Here is a 14,477-nt window from a genome sequence, read left to right as displayed (position 1 = left end):
TTTATTTATTTTGAGACAGGGTCTCACTCTGTCACCCAGGCTGGAGTGCAGTGGTGTGATCTTGGCTCACTGCAAACCCTGCCTCCTCGGGCTCAAGTAATCCTCCCACCTCAGCCTCCCAAGTAGTTGAGACCAGAAGTGTACACCACCACACCTGGCTAATTTTATGTATTTTTGGTAGAGATAGGGTTTCACCGTGTTGCCTAGGCTGTAATTGACTTTTATTACTTTGTATCTTGAATAATTTGCTTTTGAAAAATCATTGTATTGAATATCCCATCAGATTTAAAATGGACTGCTTCTTATTCATAAGTGCAAGTAGAAGAGGGGTTGACACAAATAATCCACACAGTGGCCAAATAAAAAGTAATGCAGGGCCGGGTGCGGTGGCTCACGCCTGTAATCCCAGCACTTTGAGAGGCCGAGACAGGAGGATCACTTGAGGTCAGGAGTTCAAGACCAGCCTGGCCGACATGGCAAAACCCTGTCTCTACTAAAAATACAAAAAAATTTAGCTGGGCGTGGTGGCACATGTCTATAGTGTCAGCTACTTGGGAAGTGAGGCAGGAGAATCTCTTGAACCCAGGAGGCAGAGGTTGCAGTGAGCTGAGATCACACCACTGCACTCCAGCCTGGGCAACAGAGTGAGACTCCGTCTCAAAAACAAACAAACAAACAAAAGTAATACAGGTTGAATATCCCTTATTTGAAGTGTTTTGGATTTCAGATTGTTTGTTTTTTGAGACGGAGTCTCACTCTGTCGCCCAGGCTGGAGTGCAGCAGCATGATCTCCACTCACTGCAAGCTCCGCGTCCCAGGTTCACACCATTTTCCTGCCTCAGCCTCCCGAGTAGCTGGGACTACAGGTGCCCGCCACCACACCTGGCTAATTTTTTCATATTTTTAGTAGAGACGGGGTTTCACCACGTTAGTGAGGATGGTCTCGATCTCCTGACCTCGTGATCCGCTCGCCTTGGCCTCCCAAAGTGCTAGAATAACAGGCCTGAGCCACCGCGCCCAGTGGATTTCAGATTTTTTAGGATTTTGTAATATTTTGCATTATATTGGTTGAGCAACCCAAATCGAAAATCCGAAATGCCCCAGTCAGCATTTCATTTGAGCATCACTTCAGCACCCAAAATTGTGTTTTGGAATATTTTGGATTTTCGATTTTCAGATTTGGGATGCTCAACCTGTGTAGCATTTTTGCCTGTTCATTACCTTCTTCAAGTTCTCCCTCCTCTTTTCCTCCTCTTCAAACAACTTCCCCTTCACTTAACTGCTTCTCTTCCCTACATCCATTTACAGAAGATTCACTTTCCCGAAGATAATTGCTTCTGGTGTTTCTCACACTGTTTCACCAGTTACTCCTCTGGCAGCCAAGTATAAGCATATTTCTCAAGAAGTCTGGGAATAGCCTTACAGTATCAACCATAAGTCCAAAATTTCTTTGTATTCTCCTGATTTATCTTAAAGGTTCATTTAAATTTTGCCTTCCAACTTCTTTGTGTTCATTGTATTATGAAATATTGTAATAAATGTCATACCTCTGTGTAAAATACTTGAGGAAGCTGTGCCACATTGTCAAATGACTTTAAATTCTCTCTGGCATATGGCTGCATCCCCTGGGGGTACATGTTACCCTAGTTTGAGAAACTTAGACTCTAAATGTAGGTGAATTTGTATTTTCTAAGAATGTATTATTAAGTAAAATAAGGAGTCAGATGTATACTAGATTTTCAGAGATTACCAATGAAGAGATATGGGACATGCCTTTTAGAGGGAAGCGTTGGAATCATTTTGAAGATTTTTTTCAGATTTTTCCCTTCTCCCTTTCCAGTTTGAGAATTACTGCCACAGTGAGTCCCTGTTCTGATGGGAAAGTGCTTTGTTCCCCAGTGACATTGGGATATAAAAAAGAATGAGAGGCTGGGCATGGTGTCTCATGCCTATAATCCCAGCACTTAGGGAGGCCGAGGTGGGTGGATCACCTGAGGTCAGGAGTTTCAGACCATCCTGGCCAACATGGTGAAACCCCGTCTCTACTAAAGATACAAAAATTAGCTGGGCATGGTGGCGTGTGCCTGTAGTCCCAGCTACCCAGGAGGCTGAGGCAGGAGAGTCGCTTGAACCCGGGAGGCGAAGGTTGCAGTGAGCCGAGATCGCACCATTGCACTCCAGCCTGGGCAAGAAAGTGAGACTCCGTCTCAAAAATAAATAAATAAAAATAAAAATAATAAAAAATAAAAAAGGCATGAGGACTATTCAAATTTAACAGGCACACACATATATATATATACACAGACATGTATTCACACACTACATATACTGTATATACTATATAGATGACTTACAAGGTAATTTTTATTCTCAAATCTATTTGACTCACTGAATTAAGAGTTTTCTGTTTTTATTATTTATCATAACCAAATGTGATGTAACACATTCAGTTACCAAAAAAAGTAAGTCCCTGACTTGTCCTGTTTCTACTATTCCAATCTGAGGAAGGTTAGGATTTAGCGCCACCCTGCTCCCGAATTAGAAAATTATTTTGCTAGATTAGAAATGTTTTTCTCTAAAATATCTGCAGACCTCTGCCCAGTCTGACCATTTGTTCCCACTAGGGTGCCTTTAAGTGCCTCAGTGCTTTTAGCTTTCCTATTTCTTTTGTTCTGTGTCCTCCATCTTTCTGCCTCCTGCTGCTGGTGTCTAATATCACCATCGTAGTAACAAACTGTTTCTAATTTGAGGTCCAGTGCCATAGAATACATTTTCTAAGACATACAATACTGTGACAGATGTAAGAAAATAATTCCATGATAAAAGGACATCTGACATAAAAGCCATTTAGGATCATTCCTGTTGCAGCACAGTACAGACAGAGAATTTAGCAGTGGCAGTCTAAGTGCTCACATAGCAAGGCTCCCCTGTATGGGGATTCCACCTTCCAGGAAGCATGCATCTCACTCTGTGAGAACCTATGAGAACCTTGATTTCAGAGTTAGGAGAGAGGGTCAAAGGTCTGGCACTTCAATTCCCTAGGTTCCAGTCCATCTTTATTTCCTCCTTTGTGTTTTCTACGGCCCTCTACCTCTGACATTTGGAGAAGTCTAAGCTATAACGTAGGTGACTTACATGAACAAAAATAGGACCCAAATAAAATTTCTCAGATTTTATAACTATGTCTTTTCCAGTTCCCTTTATCTTTTTAGTTTCTTTTTCTGTATTTACAATTCTTCCTTTTGGAACTTAAATGAAAGATTAAATCATGTGAGTCAGTAAATATTATTACAAATTAACATGTATTATTGGAATGTTTTTAGGAATGTTATGAATAAGGTAATGTATGAGATCCTGGAGACACAATGATGAGTAAGCTCAGATTAATGTCAGCATCTTGGAGCATATAGTCTGGGTTGAAAGAGAAATTAATTAAATACAGAAATAACTATACATTTACAACTGATAACATTTGATCATCCTCCTTAGTGAAATGGTTTCTTCACTTTAGTCTAGAATACCAGACTCGTGGTTTTCCTGCCTCACTGGCCACTCCTTTTTTGTTTCCTTTGCTGAGTCTTTCTCTTCTTTCACCTAAGTATTGGAGTACTCTAGGCTATAGCCCTTGATCTTTTGCTCTCTATTCTTCCTCAATAATACCAGCTGGTTCTATGGCTTTAAATAATATCTCTCTCTCTCTCTTTTTTTTTGAGACCCGAGTCTCGCTCTGTCACCCAGGCTGGAGTGCAGTGGCACAATCTTGGCTCACTGCAGTCTCTGCCAGGCTCAAGCAATTCTTGTGCCTCAGCCTCCCGAGTGGCCGGGACTACAGGCACCTGCCACCACACCTTGCTTATTTTTGTATTTTTAGTAGAGATAGAGTTTCACCATGTTGGCCAGGCTGGTCTTGAACCCCTGATCTCAAGTGATCCGCCCACCTCAGCCTCCCAAAGTGCTGGGATTACAGGCGTGAGCCACCGTGCGTGGCCAGTATCTCTTGATATCTATATGCTGATGACACCCAAATTTATATCTGCATTTCCTATTCCTCCCTAAACTCACTGCTTTCCATGTCACTGCACTGACCCAGTGGCTCAGGACAGAAATCTATGTGCAGTTCTTATCACCTTTACTATTACCATGCTGGTTCAGCTGACAGTAATCTCTTAACTGGTCATCTGTTCCAAGTACCCTCATTCCCATCCCTGTTTATGGCATCTATTGACCACTTAATAGCTGAAGTAATCTTTTTTTTTTTTTTTTTTTTGGAGAAAGATTCTCATTCCGTCACCCAGGTTGGAGTACAGTGACACGATCTTGTCTCACTGCAGCCTCCGCCTCCCAGGTTCAAGCAATTCTCATGCCTCAGCCTCCTGAGTAGCTGGGATTACAGGCGTGTACCACCACACCCGGCTAATGTTTGTATTTTTAATAGAGACAGGGTTTCACCATGTTCGCCAGGCTGGTGAAGTAATATTTTTAAAGCCTAAATCAGACCTGCGCAAAATCCTCCAAAGAAGTGCTGATTTCAGGTCTGGGGCAGGAAATGTACAAGATGAATCTCAGAGGATAGGATAGTAACAGAGTTCCAGAAATGATGAGGAGAGAATAAAGCTATAATCATAAAATTGGAAATGTTGCCTATGACAGAAACAATAGAGGCCTTTTATGAGACCCTTCTTAAGATCACATCAAACTTTAGGAATTGAAAGACAAAAAATGAAATTATACAGGATATAAATCAAACTAACAGAATATAAATCAAGCAATTTTTTGATAATTTATATATGGAGACACACAAACATGCACACACATATTTTAAGAATTTTTTAAACCTGCAAAAAAAAAAAAAATGAAGGAAAGCACAATGAACTTCTATATTCCCCTTACCTAGACACGTTACATGTTAACACTGGCTACTTTTTTAGGTTGAAACATATAAAAAGTCCTTGTTTTGTTTTGTTTTGACAAATAAATGATAAAATAGATGGTTCAATTGAATGCACAAACATATACACTTACACACAACACACATCCTTTAGCCAACCATCTGAGAGTAGGTTATAGATATGATGCTTCATTATGTATCCCTCGAAAACAGAAACATTCTACACAACGGAGAAAAATCAACATTAATTCACTATCATCATCTACATATAGTTCCTATTCAAATTTCGCAATTTGAGCCATCAGTTTTTAAAGAAAATCACATTACAAAATCATTTTATGAGTCTGGTGTGCTTTCTCTTATAGAATAAAGTGACTATGTTTACTGTTCACTTACTCTAGTTTTTTTCTTTGTGGTTTAGCTTCTTACATCCGTGTTTGACAATAGCATCAAGACTTTTGGAGTAATTGAGAGTGACCCTTTTGACTGGGAGAAGACTGGAAATGATGGCTCCCTAACAACCACCACTACTTCTACCACCCCTCAGTTGCACACTCGCTTGACCCCTGCTGCAATTGGGTATGTCCTAAACAGATCATTTGGTGGTGTCTTTCCTGGATGTATTATATTTGCAAAAATTTACTTCATCCAGATTCCCTCAGATGACCAAATGCTAAGACATCCGGGAAAGCCTGTGGATCTCCTCGAATTAACATTGCTCTTATGTACGCCTTTGGAATTACTTGCTTTAGATAGTACTAATAGATTATACTGTGAAATGGGAGCTTAGAGCTTAGAGCTTATGTGACTTGTTGATATCAAATTTATAATGGGTATTCTTCAAAATGAGGACCAGCATTAGTTGTGTTTCCAAATAACATATGGAACCCTGAAAAGAATGTGCCACAGTTATATCTAACTATACTGTGCCAAAGTTTAGTGGGAACAAAGCATGTAACATGTTCCTCTTAAAGTGATTTAACCTTCATAATGTATTAAGAAAAGGTTATGATCTATTTCCGTGATCTTAGTTTTTTATTGTTAATGTTTTTTCCTCTACGTGTATTAGAGTTCCTTTTGTCTTTTATTTTGTTTTTTTATTTGTCTTTTTTTTTTTTCTAATTTTTTACCTGCTTTGGTTGTTTCAAACTTTTTGGTCAAAAAAAAAAAAGGTAAATACCCAAAATGCTGAGGCAGAAGGATCACTTGAGCCCAGGAGTTAGAGGCTGCAGTGGGCTATGATTGTGCCACTACACTCTAGCCTATGCAACAGAGTGGGACCCGTCTCTGGGGAAAAGAAACTGAATAGGGACAAATTATCATACAATTTAAGTTAATTGGGACATTATACCACTCATCCATTGCTTTTATTTTTTTTTTTTTTAAACATGGAGTTTCATTCTTGTTGCCCAGGCTGGAGTGCAGTGGCACAATCTCAGCTCTGCCTCCTGGGTTCAAGCGATTTTCCTGCCTCAGCCTCCCAAGCAGCTGGGATTACAGGCCTTTGCCACCACGCCCGGCTAATTTTGTATTTTTAGTAGAGACGGGGTTTCACTATGCTGGTCAGTCTGGTCTCAAACTCCTGACCTCAAGTGATCTGCCTGTCTTGTTCTCCAAAAGTGCTGGGATTACAGGCGTGAGCCACTGCGCCGGCCTGATTTTTTTTTTTAAGAGATGGAGTCTGGCTGTGTTACCCAAGCTGGAGTGCAGTGGCTATTTATAGGCACAGTCATAGTGCACTATGGCCTCAAATTCCTGGGCTGAAGCAATCCTCCTACCTCAGCCTCTCTGGACTACAGACATGCACCCTTGTGCCCAGCTGTGATTTTTATATTGAAAGATGGGATCACTAGAACTTGTTGAATCATCGGAAGAGTTTTCATAGACTCACATAACTGGATAGTATCACTGACTATCATGTCTAAGCATTCCTAAATGTGAGACCCTGACTAGACCCAGAATCACCACGGATGTTTTTAAAAAACGCCTATTCCTGGGACCTACCCTAGACCTACTGAATCAGAATGCCTAGAAGTGGGGCACAGAAGTCCATATGCATCAAGTATTTCTCATGCTTATCAGAGTTTGGGATCCACTGCCCTAGGTCCAGCCACCCTATCTTACAAGTGAGGAAATAATCCTAACACTGAAGTAAATCCAACTTTAGGTAAATATTAGTGGCAGAGCTGGAGCCAGTCCAGAAATTTTGTTCTAGTGTTTTTGTCCTTCCCCTTTGATTGTTGTTAGAAATAAGTCTCAAACTTGCAAAAATCCAGGTGATAGCACTTCAGGGACCTAAAGACAATGAAGGCAGTTTATGTTCCCATCTTCCAATATTTTCTCCAAAATAACACAGAATAACAAAGAAGGAAAACTAAAGCTACACAGAAAAACCATGTCCTCAGCGTAACTTGTAGAAGATGCCTAAGCTTCAAAATAACTGTAAATAAAAAGAGAGAAAAAAATGAGACCACAAATCCTAGTGCAGTATCTTTCATGCTCTTGCCTCACCTACCCCTGCCAGAAGACTTTATAAAGACAGATCAAGAAAAACTGTGGGGAAGATGAAAATTAGCAATGGGATGTAAGGTTGATCTAAAACCAGTGCCATACTCCAGCTGTCTTTCGATCCCAAAAAATAAATAAATAAATAAAACCAGTGCTAGAAAGACTAAACCCATGCTAATAAGGAAAATACTAAAAAGTGTCCTGATAGATCAGATGATGAATTTCAGGGAAGTAAAAATATGCATAATTCAAAAGAAAAAAAAGGGAGAAGTGTCCTTCATTAGTGGAGTGACGGAGGAAAAAAGATGTATCAATTTGGGTCCAGTCAGGAGACAGAAACTACACAGTAATTTGAATAGGGAAAAAAAATCAAAGAATTATTTATGGCTACACAATAATTATACATATATATGGGATACATGCAATATTTTAATACATGCATGCAATGTGTTGTGATCAAATCAGGGTCATTAGGATATCCATTACCTCAAACATTTATCATTTCTTTGTGTTGGGAACATTTCAAACCTTCTACCTATTTTGAAATATACACTAGTATTTTTGTTTGTTTGTTTGCTACAGAGTCTCACTCTATCACTGTCCAGGCTGGAGTGCAGTGGCGTGATCTCGGCTCACTGCAACCTCCGCCTCTCAGGTTCAAGTGATTCTCCTGCCTCAGCCTTCCGAGTAGCTGGAATTACAGGCATGTGCCACCATGCTAATTTGTGTATTTTTAGTAGAGAGGGGGTTTCACCATGCTGGGCAGGCTGGCCTCGAAATCCTGACCTCAGGTGATCCACCTGCCTCGGCCTCCCAAAGTACTGAGATCACAGGCACGAGCCACCACGCCCAGCCTACACAAGCTATTGTTAACTATAGTCAGTAATAGGGAATTGGAATAACATAGGATTGATTAATAAGAAATAAAGATAAATATAAAGAATACAGGTACAGGAATAGCAGATACAAGGTCCAGCCATGATGCCTAGGACTGAGTGAGATTAAACATCCAAGCAAGAACTGACCCACCCCTGCCCAAGGGCTGAGGTTCAGACCTTATTGGGAGAGGAAGAAATGAAATCATAATTGATTGAACTCAGGAAAGAAATAGAAGGCAAAGACAAAATTATCTCATAATTGAAGAATATATTAAAAAGTGCACAAAGGAGAATAGACATAAGTGAAAATTTAATAGAAGTCATTGAATAAGGACAAAGAAAAAACCCTGAGAGAATGAAAATGAGATAATTCAAAAGAGTTAGAGAGAAGGTAATGCAAATTGAAGGCAGAGAAGAAATAACAGTCAGGTTGTTGGAGTCCCTGAAGAAGAAAAACAAAATAATATGTTAAAACTGAGAAACCAAATAGTAGAAGGTTAGATTTAAAAACAGAGAACTGGCTGGGTGTGATGGCTCATACTTGTAATCCCAGCAGTTTGGGAGGCTGAGGCAGGCGAGTCACAAAGTCAGGAGTTCGAGACCAGCCTGTCCAATATGGTGAAACCCCGTTTCTACTGAAAAATACAAAAATTGGCCAGGCACCGTGGCTCACGCCTGTAATCCCAGCACTTTGGGAGGCCAAGGCGGGCGGATCATGAGGTCAGATCGAGACCATCCTGGCTAACACAGTGAAACCCCGTCTCTACTAAAAATACAAAAACAAAATTAGCCAGGCATGGTGGCAGGTGCCTATAGCCCTAGCTACTCGGGAGGCTGAGGCGGGAGAATGGCGTGAACACGGGAGGTGGAGCTTGCAGTGAGCTGAGATTGAGCCACTGCACTCCAGCCTGGATGACAGAGCGAGACTCCATCTCAAAACAAACAAACAAACAAAAAAAACACACAAAAATTAGCTGGGCATGATGGCGCACACCTGTAGTCCCAGCTACTCCGGAGGCTGAGGCAGGAGAATTGCTTGAACCTGTGAGGCAGAGGTTGCAGTGAGCTGAGATCATGCCACTGCATTCCAGCCTGGGCAACAACGTGAGACTCCGTCACAAAACAAACAAACAAAAACTCACAGAGAACTAAGAGCATTTAAAAAGGTTTATGTCCAAAGATAAGCATTAGAACAAAAAGGCAAAACTTCTGAAATACCCACCCCCCAAATTATTTATAAATTAAAGTACGGGCCAGGCACAGTGGCTCATGCCTGTAATTCCAGCACTTTGGGAGGCCAAGGTGGACAGATCACTTTGAGCTCAGGAGTTTGAGACCATCCTGGGCAACATGGTGAAACCCTGTCTCTACAAAAAATACAAAAATTAGCTGGGTGTGGTGTTGTGCACCTATAGTCCCAGCTACTCCGAAGGCTGAGGCTGGAGAATGGCTTGAGTCCAGGAAATGGAGGTTGCAGTGACCTGAGATCGCGCCACTATACTCCACCCTGGGCAGCAGAGTGAGATCCTGACTCAAAAAAAAAAAAAATAGACAAAGAATACATCTTGTAGAGGAAGAAATATAGCAAGTATAGCAAGATACTGTGCACATAATAATAAAATACTATGACAAAGCTTTCCTCCTATGTTCTCTTCTAGGAGTTTTATAGTCTCAGGTCTTAACATATAGGTCTTTTATACATTTTTAGTTGATTTTTGTGTATTGTGTAAAATAGGGGTCCAATTCCTTTGCACGTGGAAATCCAGTTTTTCCGGCACCATTTATTGAAGAGCACCATTTATTGGATCCCACTGTGTCCTTTTGGTGCCCTTGTTGAAAATTAGTTGACCAAATAAGGTATCTGCACTCTCGTGTTCACTGCAGCAGTATTTACCATAGCCGAGATACAGGAACAACCTAAATACCCACTGATGGACAAATTGATAAAGAAAATGTATATGTGTGTGTGTGTGTGTGTGTGTATTGTATGTATTTGTATATATATATGCACACACAATGGAATATAGATGATGTATAAATACTTACACACACACACATAATGGACTATTATTCAGCTTTTTATTTTTCTATATTTATTTTTTTGAGACTGATTCTTGCCCTGTTGCTCAGGCTGGAGTGCAATGACATGATCTCTGCTCACTGCAACCTCCGCCTCCTGGATTCAAGGGATTCTCCTGCCTCAGACTCCTGAGTAGCTGGGATTACAGGCCTGCGTCACCACAGCTGGCTAATTTTTGTATTTTTATTAGATATGGGGTTTCACCATGTTTACCAGGCTGGTCTCGAACTCCTGACCTCAGGTGATCCACCTGCCTCAACCTCCCAAAGTGCTGGGATTACAGGCATGAGCCGCTACACCCGACCTTATTCAGCTTTTAAAAAGAAGGAGATCCTATCATTTGCCACAGCATAGGTGGAACTAAAAGACATGCTTAGTGAAATAAGCCAGACAGAAATAAAAATGTTGCATGATCTCATTTATATGTGAACAAAAAACATATATATATATATACACACACACACGTATATATATTTTAAAGCACTCAAATACACAGAGATTGAGAATGATACAGTGGTTACCACAGGGGGTTCAAGGAGGGAGGAAGGAAAGGAAATGGGGAGATGTAGGTCAAAGGATATAAAATAGCAGATATGTGGGATGAACAAGTGTGGAGATCTAATGGACAGCATAAGGAATAACCTTTATAAAATTGTATTTTCAGAAGTCTTGGACATAAATAAAAATAAAATTGTATTAGAGATTTTTGTTAAATAAGTAGATTTTAGCTGCTCTTTGTCACAAAAAAAGTAACTGTGAGTTGATAGGTTAATCTGCTTCCCTGTAATGACCATTTTACTGTCTATGTATATCCTATTACATCATGTTACAAAGCTCAAATACAATTTAAGGAAGTAAAATACTACAGCAGACTTAAGACCAAACACATCAGTCACAGCAATAAATATACATGGGGTTAACTCACCTATTAAAAGGAAAACATTTTCAGTTTGGGTTATATAGCTATATTCATATGCTGTGTATAAGAGACACACACCTAAAAAAAGTAAGAAAGAGATGGACAAAGATATATCAGAAAGATAGAAAAGAGAAGTGATCCTAATAACAGATGATGTAGAATTCAAGCCAAAACAAAAAACTTAGAAAAGATGGAAGGGCACTTTTTAATGCCAAATGCCACAATTCACAAGTGGGATACAAAATTTATTAATATTTAGTCACCAGAATCATGACACTCACCTTTGGGAAACAACAACTGCAGGATATTCAAGGAGACATAAAAACACACTCATAGTTGGAGATGTTAATGTACCACCCTCAGTTTAAGACAGATCAAGTGAACAGAGAATAGGAAGATAGAAGACTTAAACAGCGTGATCGTAGTAAGGTAGATCATATGTATGTTTTCTGAACTCTATACCTTGATGATAGAGACTATACCTCCTGCCCAGGGGCCCCTGGAACATTCACAAAAATTGATCAGGTATTAGGTCACAAACAAACATGTAAGTAGTTCCATAAAGTAGAAGTATTACATTATCTGATCACACTGCAAGAAAACTAGAAATTACCAACAAAATTAAAATATCAAAGGCCCTTTTACTGGAAATTTAAGAACCTATTAAACTACAGTCATGTGCCGTGTAATGACATCGCAATCAGTGATACACCGCATATATGACAGTGGTCCTATAAGATTACAATACTGTAGTTTTACTCTACCTTTTCTATGTTTAGATAATGTTATAATACCCAAATACTTAACCATTGTGTTACACTTGCCTCCAGTATTCAGAACAGTGACATGCTGTACAGGTTTGTAACCTAGGAGCAATAGGTTATACCATATAGCCTAGGCACGTAATAGGCTATACAATATAGTTTTTTTAAGTACGCTGTGATCATTTGGATAATGATGAAATTGCTTAACGATGGCATTTGTTAGAATGTATCCCCGTTGTTAAGCGATACATGACTGTACTCTTGGGTGAAAAGGAAAATAAAAACTAAAAGTTATAGAAAAAAATGATAATGTAAACACTACTTATCAGAATCTATGAGATAACTTTAGAACAAAGATCAGAGGAAAACCTATGGCATTAAACAAGGAGGTACATAATGTCAGTATGTCTCATTACTGATGATACTTATGTTGACAATTTGGTTACAGTGGCCAGTTCTTTCTACTATAAAGTTACTGTTTTTCTCTTTGTAAGAAATAATCTTGTGGGAAGATATTTGCAACTATGTCAGCACTGTGTTTCTTGTCATACTTTTCCTATTAATTGTAGCATCCATCAGTGAATCTTGCCCACAGGCCTAACCATTACTGTCTGCCCTCTAAGAAAAAGTTTGCCAACTTCTGATTTTTTTCTGTTTGCAAATGATATGGTAGAATACCTGGAGAATCAGTGTTAAAGAGAAAAATTTATAGTGTATGTCCCAGAACCCTGAATTTCTTCGTAGAGGGAGAATGAAAGTTTAGAAGGTAAGAGGACGCTTTAAATCATGAGCCAGCAAGCTTTATCTATAAAGGGTCAGATAAATATCTGTGAGCTATGCTGTCTCTGTCACTACTGTCATTGCTGTTATAGTGCAAAAGCTGCCATGGCCAACGTGTAAACAGACGAGACTGACTGTGTTCCAATAAGTCTATTAAAAAAAAATAGGTAAGCAGGCCAGATTTGGCCCACAAGCACTAGTTTGCCTTAGATTATGGGGAATGAAATATGAAAAGGATATTCGTTCTTACTATTTTTTCTCATATCTCTTCAGTTCTTCCACACATTTTCTTACTTATTCCCTTAATCTGCTTCAGTTATATAATACCTTGCCTGGAAACACAGACCATGTGCTAATAACACTCTTATGTATACTTTCTCACTCATTCATATTCCTGAACATGATATAATTTTCCTGGGAAGGAATTATTTCTTTCCATATTGCATACTCAAGATTTGGATCAGAGTTTAGGAAAAGAAACAATAACCAGGGAAGGAGAAAGGAATGGAGAATAAATGCAGAGGGAGGGTCTGGGTGGGAGAGGAACCTGAGTCCTATAAAAGAGAGCCTGTGTGGAGAAGATGGACGAGGTCCTTGGAGTGTGTGGTATCATATTGAAGCATAAGAGATAAGAGAAAAAGTAGGATTGAATGAAAGTAGAAGTGTATTCAGAGATGGAGGTGTGGTTTGTTTCCTGAGGTGTGAAAGAAGGAAATGCAAAGGAATTGAGGTAGTTGGAAAAAAAGCAGAATAGTGGCTAGACATAAGGGAAAAAGGGACTTGAAAGAATACTGAGTGATTAAAATGGAAAAAAGGTGACGATAATAGACTAAGCTTCTTGAGTTCAAATATTCATCTATTTCCCTTTCTCTTTCCTCAGGAATAGAGGGAATTCTTTCAATAAACATTTGGATTACCATGTAGTACATGTATGTTAGTGTCCATTATGACTCTTTTATCAATAAATAAATTATATTGAACTAATATCTGAAAAATCTGTTAGTAGCCAGTTTATTTCTGATCTTTAATTATCTCTATAATAAATCTGAACTATTGATTTGAACTATTTGAACTATTTTAGGCCAAACTACCTTTTAAATATGCTTCCACTGTCAGAACTACAGATACTACTTTACTAGGTTGTAAGTTTTTTTTTTTTTCTTTCTTTTTTTTCGGGGAGCCATTATCAGTGCTTTTCTAGATTATATCCTTGTAAATTGTTGATAAAGAGGTTCATTCTAGCATTGATCCATTTAGGCAAAGGTAGTGGTGAAGGTCATCGGTTACCAAGTCAGGTGGAACAAGTCCCTGAAAAATCACTGGTCTTCTCAGAGCATATGAAATACTCGTGACACCAGTGCCAGGATCTAACTGTGACCCTTAAAGTGGCTCACTGAGAGGATGTTGCCACTCACAGTAATTACAGGAGTCAGTATAATGTACTGAAGACTAATTTTTCTACTTTGAGACATTCCAGGTCACTTCTAAGAGGAGGTTTCATTGTGTGCTAAGTATTGTGTTCAGTCAGCAATATTTAAAAAAAAAAAAAAAAACCCTAGAATATAGAGTTACAGAACTGGCAGGAGCCTTTTCACTTGGTGAAGGAAAACTGTGAACTAGAAAAGCCTCTCATGGGAGGGTCTAAGGGAGCGATGACCAA

The 14,477-nt window shown here is 39.3% G+C and overlaps 1 protein-coding gene across 10 annotated transcripts in view, besides 1 other annotated feature; it reads left to right on the top strand.

Annotated features, from left to right (window-relative positions):
* Nucleotides 1-14,477, top strand: part of TTBK2 (tau tubulin kinase 2) — a 182,271-nt gene that overhangs the window by 120,890 nt on the left and 46,904 nt on the right. For all 10 annotated transcript variants that reach the window (XM_006720402.5, XM_047432189.1, XM_005254173.6 and 7 more), the window contains one exon: nt 5,310-5,467. In XM_006720402.5, coding sequence (XP_006720465.1) covers nt 5,310-5,467 — 158 coding nt within the window. The remainder of the gene's footprint in view (nt 1-5,309; nt 5,468-14,477) is intronic.
* Nucleotides 2,366-2,660: a silencer, noted in NCBI's record as "tiled region #5629; HepG2 Repressive non-DNase unmatched - State 13:Ctcf". NCBI's record gives its function as "represses a minimal TATA promoter and a strong SV40 promoter by Sharpr-MPRA in HepG2 cells {active_cell/tissue: HepG2}" and the evidence as "EXISTENCE:reporter gene assay evidence [ECO:0000049][PMID:27701403]".

This window comes from Homo sapiens, chromosome 15 (assembly GCF_000001405.40).
Source record: "Homo sapiens chromosome 15, GRCh38.p14 Primary Assembly".
NCBI lineage: Eukaryota > Metazoa > Chordata > Mammalia > Primates > Hominidae > Homo > Homo sapiens.
This window is presented reverse-complemented; position numbering and strand designations above follow the sequence as displayed.